At 36.2% G+C, this 14936-nt stretch overlaps 1 protein-coding gene across 11 annotated transcripts in view; it reads left to right on the top strand.

Annotated features, from left to right (window-relative positions):
- Window positions 1-14936, top strand: part of SLC44A5 (solute carrier family 44 member 5) — a 521887-nt gene that overhangs the window by 111460 nt on the left and 395491 nt on the right. For 4 of the 11 annotated variants that reach the window (NM_001130058.2, NM_001320287.2, NM_001320285.2 and 1 more), the window contains exon 1: window positions 1442-1516. The exons of the other annotated variants lie outside the window; for them this stretch is intronic. The gene's annotated coding sequence lies outside the window, so the exon portion shown is untranslated. Of the gene's footprint in view, window positions 1-1441; window positions 1517-14936 lie in introns of those variants that run through there. 11 annotated transcript variants of the gene reach the window in all.

Genomic DNA, 14936 nt, shown 5'->3' with positions numbered 1-14936 from the left:
AGTGATGTGCGAGCAAATGATTTTGAGGTTACTTTAGATTGTCTGGAAAGGTGGCATTTGTGTCGGGAAACAAGTGATGAAGAGTAATTTGCATGCCAAGAACTGGAACATAACACTTCAGGCCTTAAGGTAGAAATGAGGTGGTAGCTTGGCACATTCACATACAAAAGGAAGAGGTGTAATGTGTAAGGAAGAGACAGTTAGGGAGAAGCCAGGCCTTTTTGGTCATAAAAAGGAATATAGAGTTTAAGTGCAATGAGAAGCCATTGGATATTCACTTGCTATTTGGGGATACATTCCTCTCCTGGAAGATTATTTCAGGGAGAGGAGCATTCCTACATCAACTCCCTAGGCCAACTAAGGTGACCTAATAGACTTCACTTTTCTAAAAGGTCCAGTTATACTCACGTTATTTTCTCTTGCTATTCACCAGAATACCTATGCAATTTCAGGCTGAGATATTGATAGCATCTCTAGGAATCCCTGCTTAGAAAACAATTCTAGAGAGAATGAGGATTAATTTAACATTTAGTACAAGATGATAAGATTAGTCACTTCCCTGGCAAGCCTTTCAATGCAAGTAAGTCTTAGGAAAAACATATTGTAATGGTAGAGGGGGATTCTGAGGGGTCCAGAACATGACTGTGCAGTAGGCAGAATGTGGAAGGCAGCATGAGGGGCTCCTAGATAACAGAAAGGGGTCCACAGAAGGAGAAGAGTGATGTTTGGAAGGGGACATGAGAAAGCCTCTAAAACAACATCAGCCAATTCGTGATTTTGCCAAGTGGAAGCCTGATATGAGCATGTTCCAAGAGAAACATTCTCATTCAAACACAGAAAAAGTTTAAACCAGGGTACTTTTATGCTTTTGACTGATCTTTTTATAATGAAGCATTTGTAACAATAAAAGCACACAGATGTTTACAAAGTCTCTTTGATTTTACTTAATCACTGTCAGGTTGTTCTGATGGATTACAGACCTCACAAATGAAAATAGCATGAACATATTAATGATAACTGCTGTTTGTTGGAGGTAGTTGCTTGATAGCTAGTTAAGGAAATCATGCTCTTGGGTCTCATTTTACTGTAGAGATGTTGGTAAGTGGGATATGGGGTATATTGGATGATTTTCTTTCCCCTAAGCATTTGTGACAAGAAGGTGCTATGATATTCAGGAAAGACACAAATAATAGTAGATTATTTTAAAGGTAATCATGGCCTACTTCCACCTCCAAACTACCTACTTCTTTGCCAAGGATTAACAATGAAAAAATATACTATAGCTCCAGGACTTTGTTCAGTCTCCTCCCCCTCTTTATACTCCAAGTGACTCCTTTGAGGCTAGCAAGGCTAGTAGGACCTCAGGGATTACCTAAGAATGGGGTATGGCCCTTAGTGATACTGGAACACAATGTGTTTATGACATCAGCTTTTTTTTCACAGTAGTGAATCGTAGCATGTTAGAGTTAGAAGGTTCAGTGTTGATGGAGTTATTGAAGAAATGATGGAGTAAGAGGTGAGTGATACTGCTAAATGCAAGAAGTCTATGTCTGTAGGAAAATTGGTCAAGTTTGTTATTCATAAGTACGTATTCTATACAACTCAAGAAATACACACACACACACACATATATATAGTGAAGTCTGAATATAAATTAGGAACTGAGCACTTCCTCTCCGTGTGTGTGTGTGTATATATATAGATATCCTGGGGGATTATTTAAAGAGAGTAGTATTTTTACATCAGCTCCCTAGGCCAAGTAAGGTGACCCAATGGACTTCACTTTTCTAAAAAGTCCAGTTACACTTATGTATCTTCTCTTAATATTCACCAAAATATCGACAATATTTCGGGCTGAGATGTTGATAACATCTCTAGGAATCCTTACCTACTGGTATTCACACCTGTTCATACTCCCCTTCCAAAATGAATCACAGCTGACCATGTGATCAGTACTGTACAGCAGAAAACTACATCATAAAGACATACACTATGGCTTCTGCCTTGTTCTTTTGTATTCTTTGCTTTCTTATGTTGCTCATTTTGGGGAAACCAGATGCCATGTTTTAAAAATACTCAAGGATCCCTTGGATTATTTTTTGAAGCAGAGGTTCATACAGATATTATTAACATTTCAGCCCAAAATATTGTCGGTATTTTGATGAATAGTAAGAGAAGATACATAAGTATAACTGCACTTTTTAGAAAAGTGAAGTCCATTGGGTCACCTTACTTGGCCTAGGGAGCTGATGTAGAAATATTGCTCTCTCTAAATAATTCTCCAGGATATCTATGTGTATATAGGTATATGTATGTATATGTATATACCTATGGAGAGAGAAGAAGAGCTCAGTTCCTAATTTATATTCAGACTTCACTATGTGTGTGTGTGTGTGTGTGTGTGTGTGTGTGTGTGTGTATTTCTTGACTTGCATAGAAGTCTTGAATCTTAGCTCTGTGTGGGAAGAACTGAGGCCTCCTGCTAATAGCAACAACTTGCTAGTTATGTGAGTGATCTATCTTGGGAACAGACCCTGCAACCAAGTCAAGCCTTCAGATGACTGTAGCTTCAGCCAACATCTGACTGAATTTCATGATAGCCCCGACCCAGAGCTATCCAATCAAGCTGCTTCTGGATTCCTGAATCACAGAAACCATAAGATATAATAAATGCTTACTCTTGTCTTAAACCACTAAAATTTGGGGGTAATAGGTTACATAACATTAGATCATGAATATACCTGTGGTTCATTATTTTTGCACCTCTATCATGAAATGTAATATTTGTTACTAGTTCCAACACTGATCTTGAATCTTAGCCCTCTTTCCTATTTAGTGAATTGGGCTGAAACCCTGAAGTTCTCTTTTCTTGTTTCCCTTGAGTTTCTTGTAGCAGCTTGCTTTCTCCTCTGCTTTTTTGAGTACTGATTCCTGGCTCCTCTAGTTCATTTAGTTTAGAAGATACTTTCCAAATTGAAGCACTACCGAACCAAAAATCAGAGTGATAAAGAGAATACAAAAGCCCTAAAATCTCCCAACAGCACAAGATTTCACAGTCCTCCAAACTAAGAAGATAGAAAGTTTCTTAAAATCTACAATCTTTTATTCTCACCATCAAAAATAAGAATGTAAGGTAATGAATATGTTAAATAGCTTGATTTAGCCATTCCACAATGTGTATATATATCAAAACATCAGGTTTCACACCATAAATATATAAATTTTTACTTGCCAATTAAAAAAGAAAAAACCCAAAGAAATGAAACCCTAAAATATTCAAATAAAAACCTTTCCAGCTGTATTTATCTATTCCTCCTTACCAAAGAATCCCTTCCTCCTCCCAGCCCAGTTAGTCCTTTGAGGTATAAATAGGAGACTGAGAAAGAGGATTTAAGAAAGGAAGGTTGCCGTCTCTTCTACTTGAGAGTAGGATATTAATCTATTTTATTCGTTCATGTAGTTCTCTATTCATTCAATAAGTGTTAATCAATCGCTTACTATGTACTGGGCACTATTCTAAGCATGCTTGGGATAAATCAGGGAACAAAATGAATTCTTCATGAGGTTTACACTATACATAGGGAAGACAAACAATGAATAATAAGCATGAATACATTGTTGATATTAAAAATTGAAAAGTGCCATGACAGAAAGAAAAAAAAATGAGCATAGTAAGGGGGATTTGGATTGCTAATCATGGGATGATGGTGGGCCAGCTGCAAGTATTAATAGGGTGGTTAGGGTAGGACCAATTGACGAGGTAATATTGAAGGACATGAAGCAGTGGAAGGGGAGGAGACTTCCAGAAGGAAGGAAAAGCCAGAGCAAAGACCCTACAGTGAAAATATACCTGGTATGTTTGACTAACAGAAAGAAGACCAAGTGGAATTAGTAAGGGGGATAGAAATAGAAAATGAAGTCAGAAAGATGAGGGAAGACTAAATTATATTAAACTTTTTAGAAAGTTTTAAGACTTTGGTTTTTACTCTGGGGAAATGTGGCACCAGTTCAGATTTTGAACAGAGGAAAAATATGATCTGACTTACATTTTAAAATAATTGCTACGGCGACTGTGTTGAGAATATCGAGCCAATATGTAGGGGTAATGAGAAACTAGAAGACTAGTAAGGAATCTTTTGCAATAACTCTTTAAAAATTTTCTTCTTCTGGTGGCTGAATAATACTCCATTGTGTACACACACAACACACACACACACACACACATACCCCTCACATTTTGTTTATCCATTCATCTGTGGATAGACACGTAGGTTGATTCCATATCTTTTTCTCTGGAAAAATATATTTTCAGTTCCTTTGCCTATTTTTAAGTTGGGTTATTTGTTTTTTTTTGTTTTTTGTTTTGTTTTGTTTTGTTTTTGCTATTGACTTACAACAACATGGATAAACCTGGAGGACTTTATACTAAGTGAAATCAACCAGGCACAAAAAGAAAAATACTGTATGATCTCACTTATATGTGGAATCCAAAATTATTGAACTCATAGAAGCAGTGAGTAGAATGGTGGTTGCCAAAGGCTGGGGGAGTGGGAGAAGTGAGGAGATACTAGTCAAACAGTACAAACTTACAGTTATAAGACAAGTTCTGGGGACATAATATACAGCATAGATAGTGATGGATATTGTATTAGTTTGTTTTCATGCTGCTAATGAAGACATACCCAAGATTGGGTAACTTATAAAGGAAAGAGGTTTAATTGACTCACAGTTCCACATGGCTGGTGAGGCCTCACCATCATGGCAGAAGGTGAATGAGGAACAAAGTCACATCTTACATGGCAGCATGCAAGATAGCATGTACAGGGGAACTCCCCTTTATAAAACCATCAGATCTCATGAGACTTACTATCATGAAAACAGCATGGCAAAGACCCACCCCCATGATTCAATTACCTCCCACTGGGTCCCTCCCATGACATGTGGGAATTATGGGAGTTACAATTCAAGATGAGATTTGGGTGGGGACACAGCCCAAACTATGTCAGATGTGTTATTAAATTTGGTTGTAATAATTATTTATTATACAACGTGTACATATACCAAATCATCATGTTGTACACTTTGAATACATACAGTCTTTATTTGTCAATTAATATTTTAAAATAAAAAGTTGCTTATAAAAAATAATTCAGTTGAGAGATGATAGTGGCATCTATCAGGGTAGAAGCAGTGGTGAACATGAGAAATGGAAGGATACTGAATATATTTTTAAGGTAGAACTTATATAATTTTAAAAACTAACAGGATGTTTCATGTGAGAGAAAGAAAGGAGTGATGGATTAATGCACAGTTTTTGACCTAAACAACTAAGAGAAGGTGGACTTGGCATCAACTACTATTTGAAGATTGTAGAAGGGGCAAGTTTATGGGGAAGGATCAGAAGTTTAGTTTTGGACACATTTGGGTTTGAAATATTTATTTGATATACAAGTGAAGATGACAAGTAGGAAGCTGGATATGTAAGTCTGGAGTCTTGGAGAGAGGCTTGGGCTGATCATATGAATTTGGAATTCATCAGAACATTGGTGGTATTTAAGATCACAGACTGGAAGACTCACTGGGAATTGAGTATAGATTGAGAGAAATGATCTGAGCCCAGGGCTGCTCCATTATTAAGAGATAAGTGAGAAGGGGAGGAGTCAGTAAAGGAGATTGAGAAAGAGCAACTGGTGACTAAGAAGTGGGTGTGGGGTCTTGGAACCAAGGAAGAAAGTGTATCAAGGAGGAAAATGATAATCAACAGTGTCAAACGCTGCCCATAGGTCAGGTAAGATCAGGGTTGAGAAATGGCCATTGTATTTATTAATATGAAAGTCATTGAAGACCTTAATTAATTAATATGAAAGTCAAAGACAGCCCAGGTGAAGTGGTGGCAATGATGCTTTGAGTGAAGTGGGTTAAGAGAGAATGAAGAGGAGGAAAATTAAAGACAGCACAGTTAACTGTTTTGAAGGGTTTTGCTTTAAAGGGAGCAAAGAAATGATATGGCTGGGGATGGGAGTTGTGGAGTTGAAAAAAGATTTGCTTTTTTAAGATGGAAGAATAATAGTGGGTTTTATTCCTTGTTGTTTGTTACTATCTGTGTATTGAGGTGGGTTTTAACCTCTCTTTTACTATTTTAAATTTTGGGTGCTTTTTATGACAGTTTCCTATGGAGGTAAGATGAATTAATGTAGAATGGTCTTATGTTGCCTAGTTCTAAGGATGTTTCTCTTTTATCTTCTTTTACGTCTTTAAATGTATTATCTTTAAGAAATATTAAATGGAGTATTAAGAGAGGTATAGAAATGGATTTTCTGACAAAATAATAAAATATGCCATAGTAGGAAAAAGTTTCCAGAAGACAAGAGTTTGCCAGTCATCTTGTTGCTGACTGTGGCAGTCCATTCCCTCACTTGAAAGGATCTTAAAGAACTAAAGAAAAATTAAAAAAAAAAATTGTGCGGGAACTAGCCTAATGCTTCTCAACCAGGGGCAATTTTACAGTGTCTGGAGATATTTTGATTGTCATGACTGGAGTGGCGCTGGTGGCATCCAGTGGGTAGAGACCAGGGATGCTACTAACATTCTATAATGTACCTCCTCACAACAAAAGATTACCTAGTGCAAATTGTCAATGTTGCCAAGGCTGAGAAGCTATGGGCTAGCCCTATCATCTTTCCTTTCTTCCAGAGAGAAGCTAGGAAGCTGCTTCTGAAAAAGGGATCCGGAAGCAGGAGCTTTCCCTATCCCATTGTTCTGTGTTTAGATGAGACACAGCTTTTAAATAAATGATTAGGGTTCAAAATAAAGACATTTCTTTTTTGCCTTTGCTTTCTCTTTACCCCCTTCTGTGGATTCCCATAGTATAATCGAATTTTATAACTTTTGGTAGTTTCCCATTAGGGCCCATGACAGAGGAACATTAAAGTCATGGTGAAAAATTCCTCATTCAGTTGAGAAACCACAATTTCACATTGCTGATTTCTATTCTGCATCTGTCTGACAACTTAGTGAAGGAAAGGATGAAGAATAGGGTGATTTGTTAAGCTCTGACTCTACAAATCACTATAGCTTTTTAATATGAAAGGAGGGGTGGCCTCTCAGGCATCTTTTTTTGTAGCTTTTTTGGGCCATTAGGATTTTGGATGAGAGCTGCATTGTTTATTTATTTATTTTTATTTTTTCTCCACCTTCTCATTCTTAATAACTCTACCTTCAATATGTGCCTTATCTTTTAAGAAAGGCTCTGAAGAAACTCAGAACAGGTCCTAAGTGCTTGTTGAATGAAAATTTTCTTGTAGAATCAAAAATTTAAAACCCAATTTTAAAAGAAGCAATTTTAAATTCATAGTTTTTAAAAACTTAAAAGGCAGGTTTTTAAATGTAAATTTGCTAGTTCTCTGGATTGTCTTTCAGTGTTCAAAGTCAAAGACAAAAATCAGGCTTTCAAATTGACATTTTAGGAAGCATCCCCCTTGAGAACTGGAACAAGACAAGGATGCCCACTCTTCCCACTCCTGTTGAACACAGTACCGGAAGTGCAAGCCAGAGCAATCAGGCAAGAGAAAGAAAGAAAAGGCATCCAAATAGGAAAAGAAGAAGTCAAACTATCTCTCCTAGGAATCCCTAAAGACTGCCAAAGACTTTTGGAACTGAAAAATGACTTCAGTAAAGTGTCAGGATACAAAATCAATGTACAAAAATCAGTACCATATCTTTACACCAATAATGTTCAAGCTGAGAGCCAAATGAAGAACATAGCCTAATTTACAGTACACACACACATACACACACACCCCTTGGTTTCACCTCTAACCAAGGAAGTAAAAGGTCTCTACAAAGAAAACTACAAAACGCTGCTGAAATAAATCATAGATGACAGAAACAAATGGAAAAACATTCCATGATCATGGATTGGAAGAATAATAAAATGGTCAAACTCCCCAAAGCAATCTACAGATTCAATGCTATTTCTATGAAGCTACCAATGGCATTTTTCACAGAATCAGAAAAAACTATTCTAAAATTCATATGGAAGTAATAAAGTAATAAAGAGCCCAAATAGGCAAAGTAATCCCAAGAAAAAAGAACAAAGCCAGAAGCATCACATTACCTGGCTTCAAACTATATTGTAAGGCTACAGTAAGCAAAACAGCATGGTACTGGTACAAAAACAGACACATAGACCAATGGAACAGAAGAAAGAACCCAGAAATAAAGCTGCATTCCTATAGCCAGCTGACCTTCAACAAAGTAAACCAAAATCAGCAATGGGGAAAGGACTCTCTACTCAATAAATGGTGCTGGGATAACTGGCTATCCATATGCAGAAGAATGAAACTGGACCCCTACCTTGTTTGATATGGAAAAATTAACTCAAGATGGATCAGAGAATTAAATGTAAGACTTCAAACTATAAGAATCTTAGAAGAAAACATAGGAAACACCATTCTGGACATTGACTTTGGGAAAAATTTATGACTAAGTCCTCAAAAGCAATGACAACAAAAGCAAAAATTGCAAGTGAGACCTAATTAAACTGAGTAGCTTTTGCACAACAAAAGAAACTATCAACAGAGTAAACAGACAACCTACAGAGTGGGAGAAAATATTCACAAACTGTGCATCTGACAGAGGTCTAATATCTAGAATCTATAAGGAACTTAAACAATTGAACAAGTAAAACACCAATAACCCCATTAAAAATAGGCAAAAGAAAGACATGAATGGACAGTTCTCAAAAGAAGACATACAATTAAAAAAAAGAAGACATACAAGCAGCAAAAAAAAAAAAAAAAACATGAAAAAATGCTCCACATCACTAATTACCAGAGAAAGGCAAATCAAAAATCACGAGATACCATCTCATATAAGTCAGAATAACTATTATTAAAATTTAAAAATATTTGGGTGAGGCTGCAGAGAAATGGGAATGCTTATAAGCATATATACACTGTTGGGAATGTAAATTAGTTCAGTCACTGTGGAAAGCAGTTTGGAGGTCTCTCAGAGAGCTTAAAACAGAACTACCACTTGACCCAGCAATCCCACTACTGGGCATATATCCTCAAAAAACAAATTATTCTACCAGAAAGACACATGCACCCGCATGTTAATTGCAGCACTATTCACAATAGCAAAGACATGGAATCAACCTAGGTGCCCATCAACAGTGAATTGGATGAAAAAAAAAAAGGTACAAATACACTATGGAATACTATATAGCCAAAAAAAGAACAAAATCATTTCCTTTGCAGCAACATGGATGCAGTTAGAAGCCATTATCCTAAATGGATTAATGCAGTATCAGAAAATCAGATACCACATGTTCTCGCTTATAAGTGGGAGCTAAACAACAGGTACTAATAGACATAAAGATGGCAACAATTGATACTGGGACTGCTAGAGTGGAGAGGGAGGTTGGGGGAAAGGGTTGACAAATGAACTGTGGGGTACTATGCTCAGTACCTAGGTGACAGGATCAACTGTACTCCAAACCTTATCATTACACAATATAACCAGGTAACAATGTGTATATGTACCCCCTGAATCTAAAATAAATGTTGAAAAACTCTCAAACCCAAATTAAATATACATAAATAAATTTACATTTTATTAAAAATGTATTACTACTCTAGATTTGCCTTACAGGAAAGTCAAAACTTATTTTAAGCTTAGCCTATGATTATATACATTTGTACGTACAAGTTTAAAAATATCCAAAGTCATAAAATTTAACAAAAAAGGTAAAAGCTACTTACTGGGCATTTATGCTTCACAAACTAGTATTAACAGCACCTTTCACTTTGAAATACTTTTTTTCGAAGTGAAAAACACATTTTTCTTATTTATCTCAGCCTCTTATCACACTTTTGTTTGGTTGCACAAGAATGTCATCACATTCTTTACTCATGGCAATGACATTGATTCTGCTGATTTAACACCTTTGCTTTACTGAAAGAGTATTGGTGACTAAAGGAGGACCATTATTGCTCTTTAAAAAATGTTTAATCATAAATAGATGTGTCCAGGGATATCTTAACTGTATGAGGTATGATAGGCTTGAAATTATAAAGCACAGCTTTGGAATACACCCCTCCACAATCCTTAACCACTCAGAAAGTCTTACGTTAATACATATTATTTTTTGAACTTTATGAAAACTGCATTGAATAATTATCACACTTCCTACACACCAACTTGTATTTAATGATTTATGGAAACATTACTAAGACAAAAGAAGGACATAGCCTTCACTTGACTAATTCTAAGACCAAGGCTCCCTATGTTTTAACTTCTGTAAACTCTCACTGCCTGAATAAATACCTTAGGTATAATGAAGCGTAGGCAAATAATAGATTATAAATAAGTTGACCGAGGTCAAGAGAGGCATTTAACCTATTTAACCTATTTGGGAAAACAACCCATTTTCAAATTTTTAACAGCAGTAAATGGTAGAAAAGTATACTAATTAGAAATAATCATTTACTAAAGCAAATCTTTGAGGAAGTCTAATGAGTAGTTTCTTTAGCCAATTGCTTGTATTAAAGGACTGGAATAACTTTTGAATATTCAGAATTTTCACAAGTTCAGACTTCCTTCAGTTGGCCCTATTTAATGAGTTTTTATGCTGCATCTTGTATTTCTGAAAATTGAGTTTTTGTTTGTTTTGAGGCTGAGAATTTTGAGAACTGTCATTGTCAGACCAATGTCTCAGGAATCATTAGGAAAACAACTCGGGGTGGGAAGGTGGTTAGATGATGTCGTTGAGTGATCTTTATGGAAGGGAAATTTGTGAGAGATTTTCTAAATAAAGATGCAAGATTTTCATTGCTTTAGATATGCTAAATTTTTTTCCTGGAATCAGTCAGACCTTGAGATAGCTCTTTACCCAGCTTGTGTTATTTTGGTCCCTGCAGAAGTGCTTTTGCTGATTTGTGCTTACCTGTTATAATATTGGCTGGCATTGAGAAACTTGACATTGTATTAAGTTCAAGGATGTTATTTCTCTCTCTTTTTTATTATACTTTAAGTTGTGGGGTACATGTGCAGAATGTGCAGGTTTGTTGCATAGGTGTACACATGCCATAGTGGTTTACTGCACCCATCAACCCGTCATTTACATTAGGTATTTCTCCTAATGCTGTCCCTCCTCTAGCCCCCCAGCCCCCCAGCCCCCGACAAGCCCCAGTGTTTGATGTTCCCCTCCCTGTGTCCATGTGTTCTCATTGATCAACTCCCACTTATGAGTGAGAACATGCGGTGTTTGTTTTTTTGTTCTTGTGTTAGTTTGCTGAGAATGATGGTTTCCAGTGTCATCCATGTCCCTGCAAATGACATGAACTCAAGGGATGTTATTTCTTGTGCTGATCACTGTTTTTAGAATCTGTATTATGAGGATCTCATGGATAAATTTCTCTGAAATGTCGCTAGCCAAAATGAACAATGTCACTCATGGAACTCATTGTGTTTTCCACTATGGGTAGACAGGAAGTCTCAGAACTAATGTTGAGCTCACTTCTTGCTCAAGGTTATGTCATCATAAGTCATGCACTTGATTCATTTTGTTTCTCATATTCTTACTCTTTCTTCTCACTGTCTCTCTTTATACACAGTCATGCATTGCTTAAGTATGGGGCTACATTCTAATAAATGTGTCATTAGGTAATTTTGTCATGCAAACATTGTAGAATGTACTTATAGAAACCTAGATGGTGTAGCCATATCTAGTTATACACATAGATAGGCTATATGGTATAGCCTATTGCTCCACTCCTAGGCTATATATCTGCACAGAACACCACTGTATTAAATACTCTAGACAATCATAACACAATGGTAAATATTTGTATATCTTAACATAAAAATGGTACAGTAAAAATACAATATCATAATCTTATGGGACCACTATTCTGTATGTGGTCTGTCATTGACTAAAATGTCATTATGTGGCACATGACTGTACTTTGTTTTGCTGAATTGTATTTATTTTTATAAACTACTTAAAATATTTTTTGAAACAAGATTAATAAATAAATAAATAAATATTTGGATGAGACAATTCACAGAGGTTAAACAACCTGCTCAAAATTATAAAACTAATGATTTACAGAGTTAATATTTAAAACTAGATGTAACCCCAAACAATTTCAGACATAGAGTATGACATTGAAAAAGTTTTGGAAAACAAGTGGTCCTACTGTTCTAACTCAACTTTTTTTCCTTTATTTTTGTAGTTTACCATCTAGTCTTGGTTCATATATAATTTTCATGGTTGTACTTTTATATAATGACATCTTTATCTGTCTGCTTGCACAAGCTAAGAGTCCTTGACTCCATATTCCCTCTCACATCCTCTTTCCAGGCTCTGCTCAAACTGATAAAGTCAGTCACTACTCTTGATCCTAAGTATCTACTTTTCTCTATCTCTGCTGCCACAGATCTGAGTCAGTGTTATCATTTCTAATATGGATTAGACCACCTCTGCACTAAGGGGTCTCCTTGCTTTCGACCTAGCTTTCCTCCAATTTATTTTTTACTCTACTGCAATTAAGAAACTCCTGCACTTATGACACTCCTGAAAGACAAATCTGGTCATTTCACATCCCTAAAATCCAATAATGGCTTTTCATTGGCTACACAAGACAAAATCAAAATTCTGTAGCAAACCATCCAAGTCTAGAATCTGACCTATGATTACCCTTCCAGGTTCATTTCCCACCACTTCCCACATTCACCCTAATTCTTAATGATCCGACCACACTAAATACTGGGGGCCATACACATTCTTTTATGCTTCTCTGCCTTCATGATGTTATTGTTTTGGATGGTTTGTATGTGTGTGTGTGCACATGTATAATTCTGAAAATTTCTATTTTTTTCCAAGATTAAGCACAAATGTCAACTTCTCTGTAAAATTTCCCATCTTCTCTGACTACCACCTTCAAATTAAGCACTTCTTTCTCATTGCTCCCATAACATCTTTCATATACCTCTGTTAGTGCTCTTATATCAATTTAAATGTAGACTCTACACATCCATCTCCTTTCTCAATCTTCATGTGGGTCTTCAGCCCTACTTCTGCACTGAAGCAAAAGGAACCAAAAACCTGACCGCAAATCAGTCAGTGGCTTAACATCCCAGGTTAGAGTGTCGCTCTGGTCCACTTCTGTCTCCAATTGTTCTGTTGATGCGCTATCAGTTAGTTTTAGGCCAGCCAGCCTGTACATTGATGCTTGAAAAAACAGTGCTCTATTTCCAAGCTAGTTGTCTAGAAACTGTCATCTCTTTCTTAGCGTTGCTCCCAATCTTTTTGTCCCTTCCTAGATACCCATTACTAGGCTGTGAGCAATGCGAGCATTTTGATTGTGCGCAATTTATCCTTTAATCCAAAATGTCAAGTGTAATTTTGGACATATCACAGATACTAAATGAACATTTATTGAATGAATCAAACATTTCTCTATATTTTTATATATTTTCATAATTTTATTTTAAATGGTTTGGTAATATTCAATTGCATTAATTTAGCATAACTGGCATAATTAACTGAGTTTTCTGTGGAAATGTAATAGTCTAAACAACATTATATATATATTTGTTTATGAATAGTCTTTTTTAATTTTTATTTTAAGCTTGGGGTACATGTGCAGGTTTGTTACATAGGTGAACTTGTGTCATGGGGGTTTGTTGTACAGGTTATTTCATCACCCAGGTGTTAAGCCTAGTACCCACTAGTTACTTTTCCTGATCCTCTCCCTCCTCCCACCTTCCACTCTTCAATAGGCCCCAGTATGTGTTGTTTCCCTCTATGTGTCCATGTGCTCTCATCATTTAGCTCCCACTTGTAAGTGAGAACACTCAGTATTTGGTTTTCTGTCCCTGTGTTAGTTTGCTAAGGATGATGGCCTCCAGCTCCATTCATGTCCCTGCAAAGGACATGATCTTTTTCATTTTCATAGCTGCATAGTATTCCATGGTGTATATGTACCACATTTTCTTTATTCAGTTTATCATTGATGGGAATTTAGGTTGATTCCATGTCTTTGCTATTGTGAATAGTGCTGCAGTGAACATACGTGTACATGTGTCTTTATAATAGAACAATTTATATTCCTTTGGGTTTATACCCAGTAATGGGATTGCTGGGTCAAATGTTATTTCTCTTTTTAGCTCTTTGAGGCATTGCCACAATGTCTTCCACAATGGTTGAACTAATTTACACTCCTACCAATGGTGTGTAAATGTTCCTTTTTCTCCACAACTTGCCAGCATCTGTTTTTTTTTGGCTTCTTAATAATAGCCATTCTGACTGGTGTGAGATTGTAGTTTTTATTTGCATTTCTCTAATGATCAGTGATACTGAGCTTTTTCTCATATGATTGTTGGGTGCATGTATGTCTTCTTTTGAAAAGTGTCTGTTCATACCATTTGCCTACTTTTTTATGGGTTTTTTTTTCTTGTACATTTGTTTAAGTTCCTTATAGATGCTGGATATTAGACCTTTGTTGGATGCATAGTTGCAAAAATTTTCTCCCATTCTCTAGGTTTTCTTTTTACTCTGTTGGTAGTTTCTTTTGCTGTGCAGAAGCTCTTTAGTTTAATCAGATCCCATTTGTCAATTTTTTTCTTTTGTTGCAATTGCTTTTAACAACTTCATCATGAAATCTTTGCCCGTGTCTATATTCTGAATGGTAATGCCCTCATTGTCTTTCTGGACTTTATACTTTTAGGTTTTATATTTAAGTCTTTAATCCATCTTGAGTTAATTTTTGTATGTGGTGTAAGAAAGAGGTCCAGTTTCAATCTTCTGCATATGGCTAGCCAGTTATCCCAGCACCATTTAGGGAATACTTTCTCCATTGCTTGTTTTTGTCAGGTTTGCTGAAGATCAGACAGTTGTAGGTGTGGAGTCTTATTTCTAGGTTCTCTAT

This window comes from Homo sapiens, chromosome 1 (genome assembly GCF_000001405.40).
Source record: "Homo sapiens chromosome 1, GRCh38.p14 Primary Assembly".
NCBI lineage: Eukaryota > Metazoa > Chordata > Mammalia > Primates > Hominidae > Homo > Homo sapiens.
The sequence above is the reverse complement of the archived record's forward strand: the minus strand, read 5'-3'. Positions and strand labels throughout refer to the sequence as shown.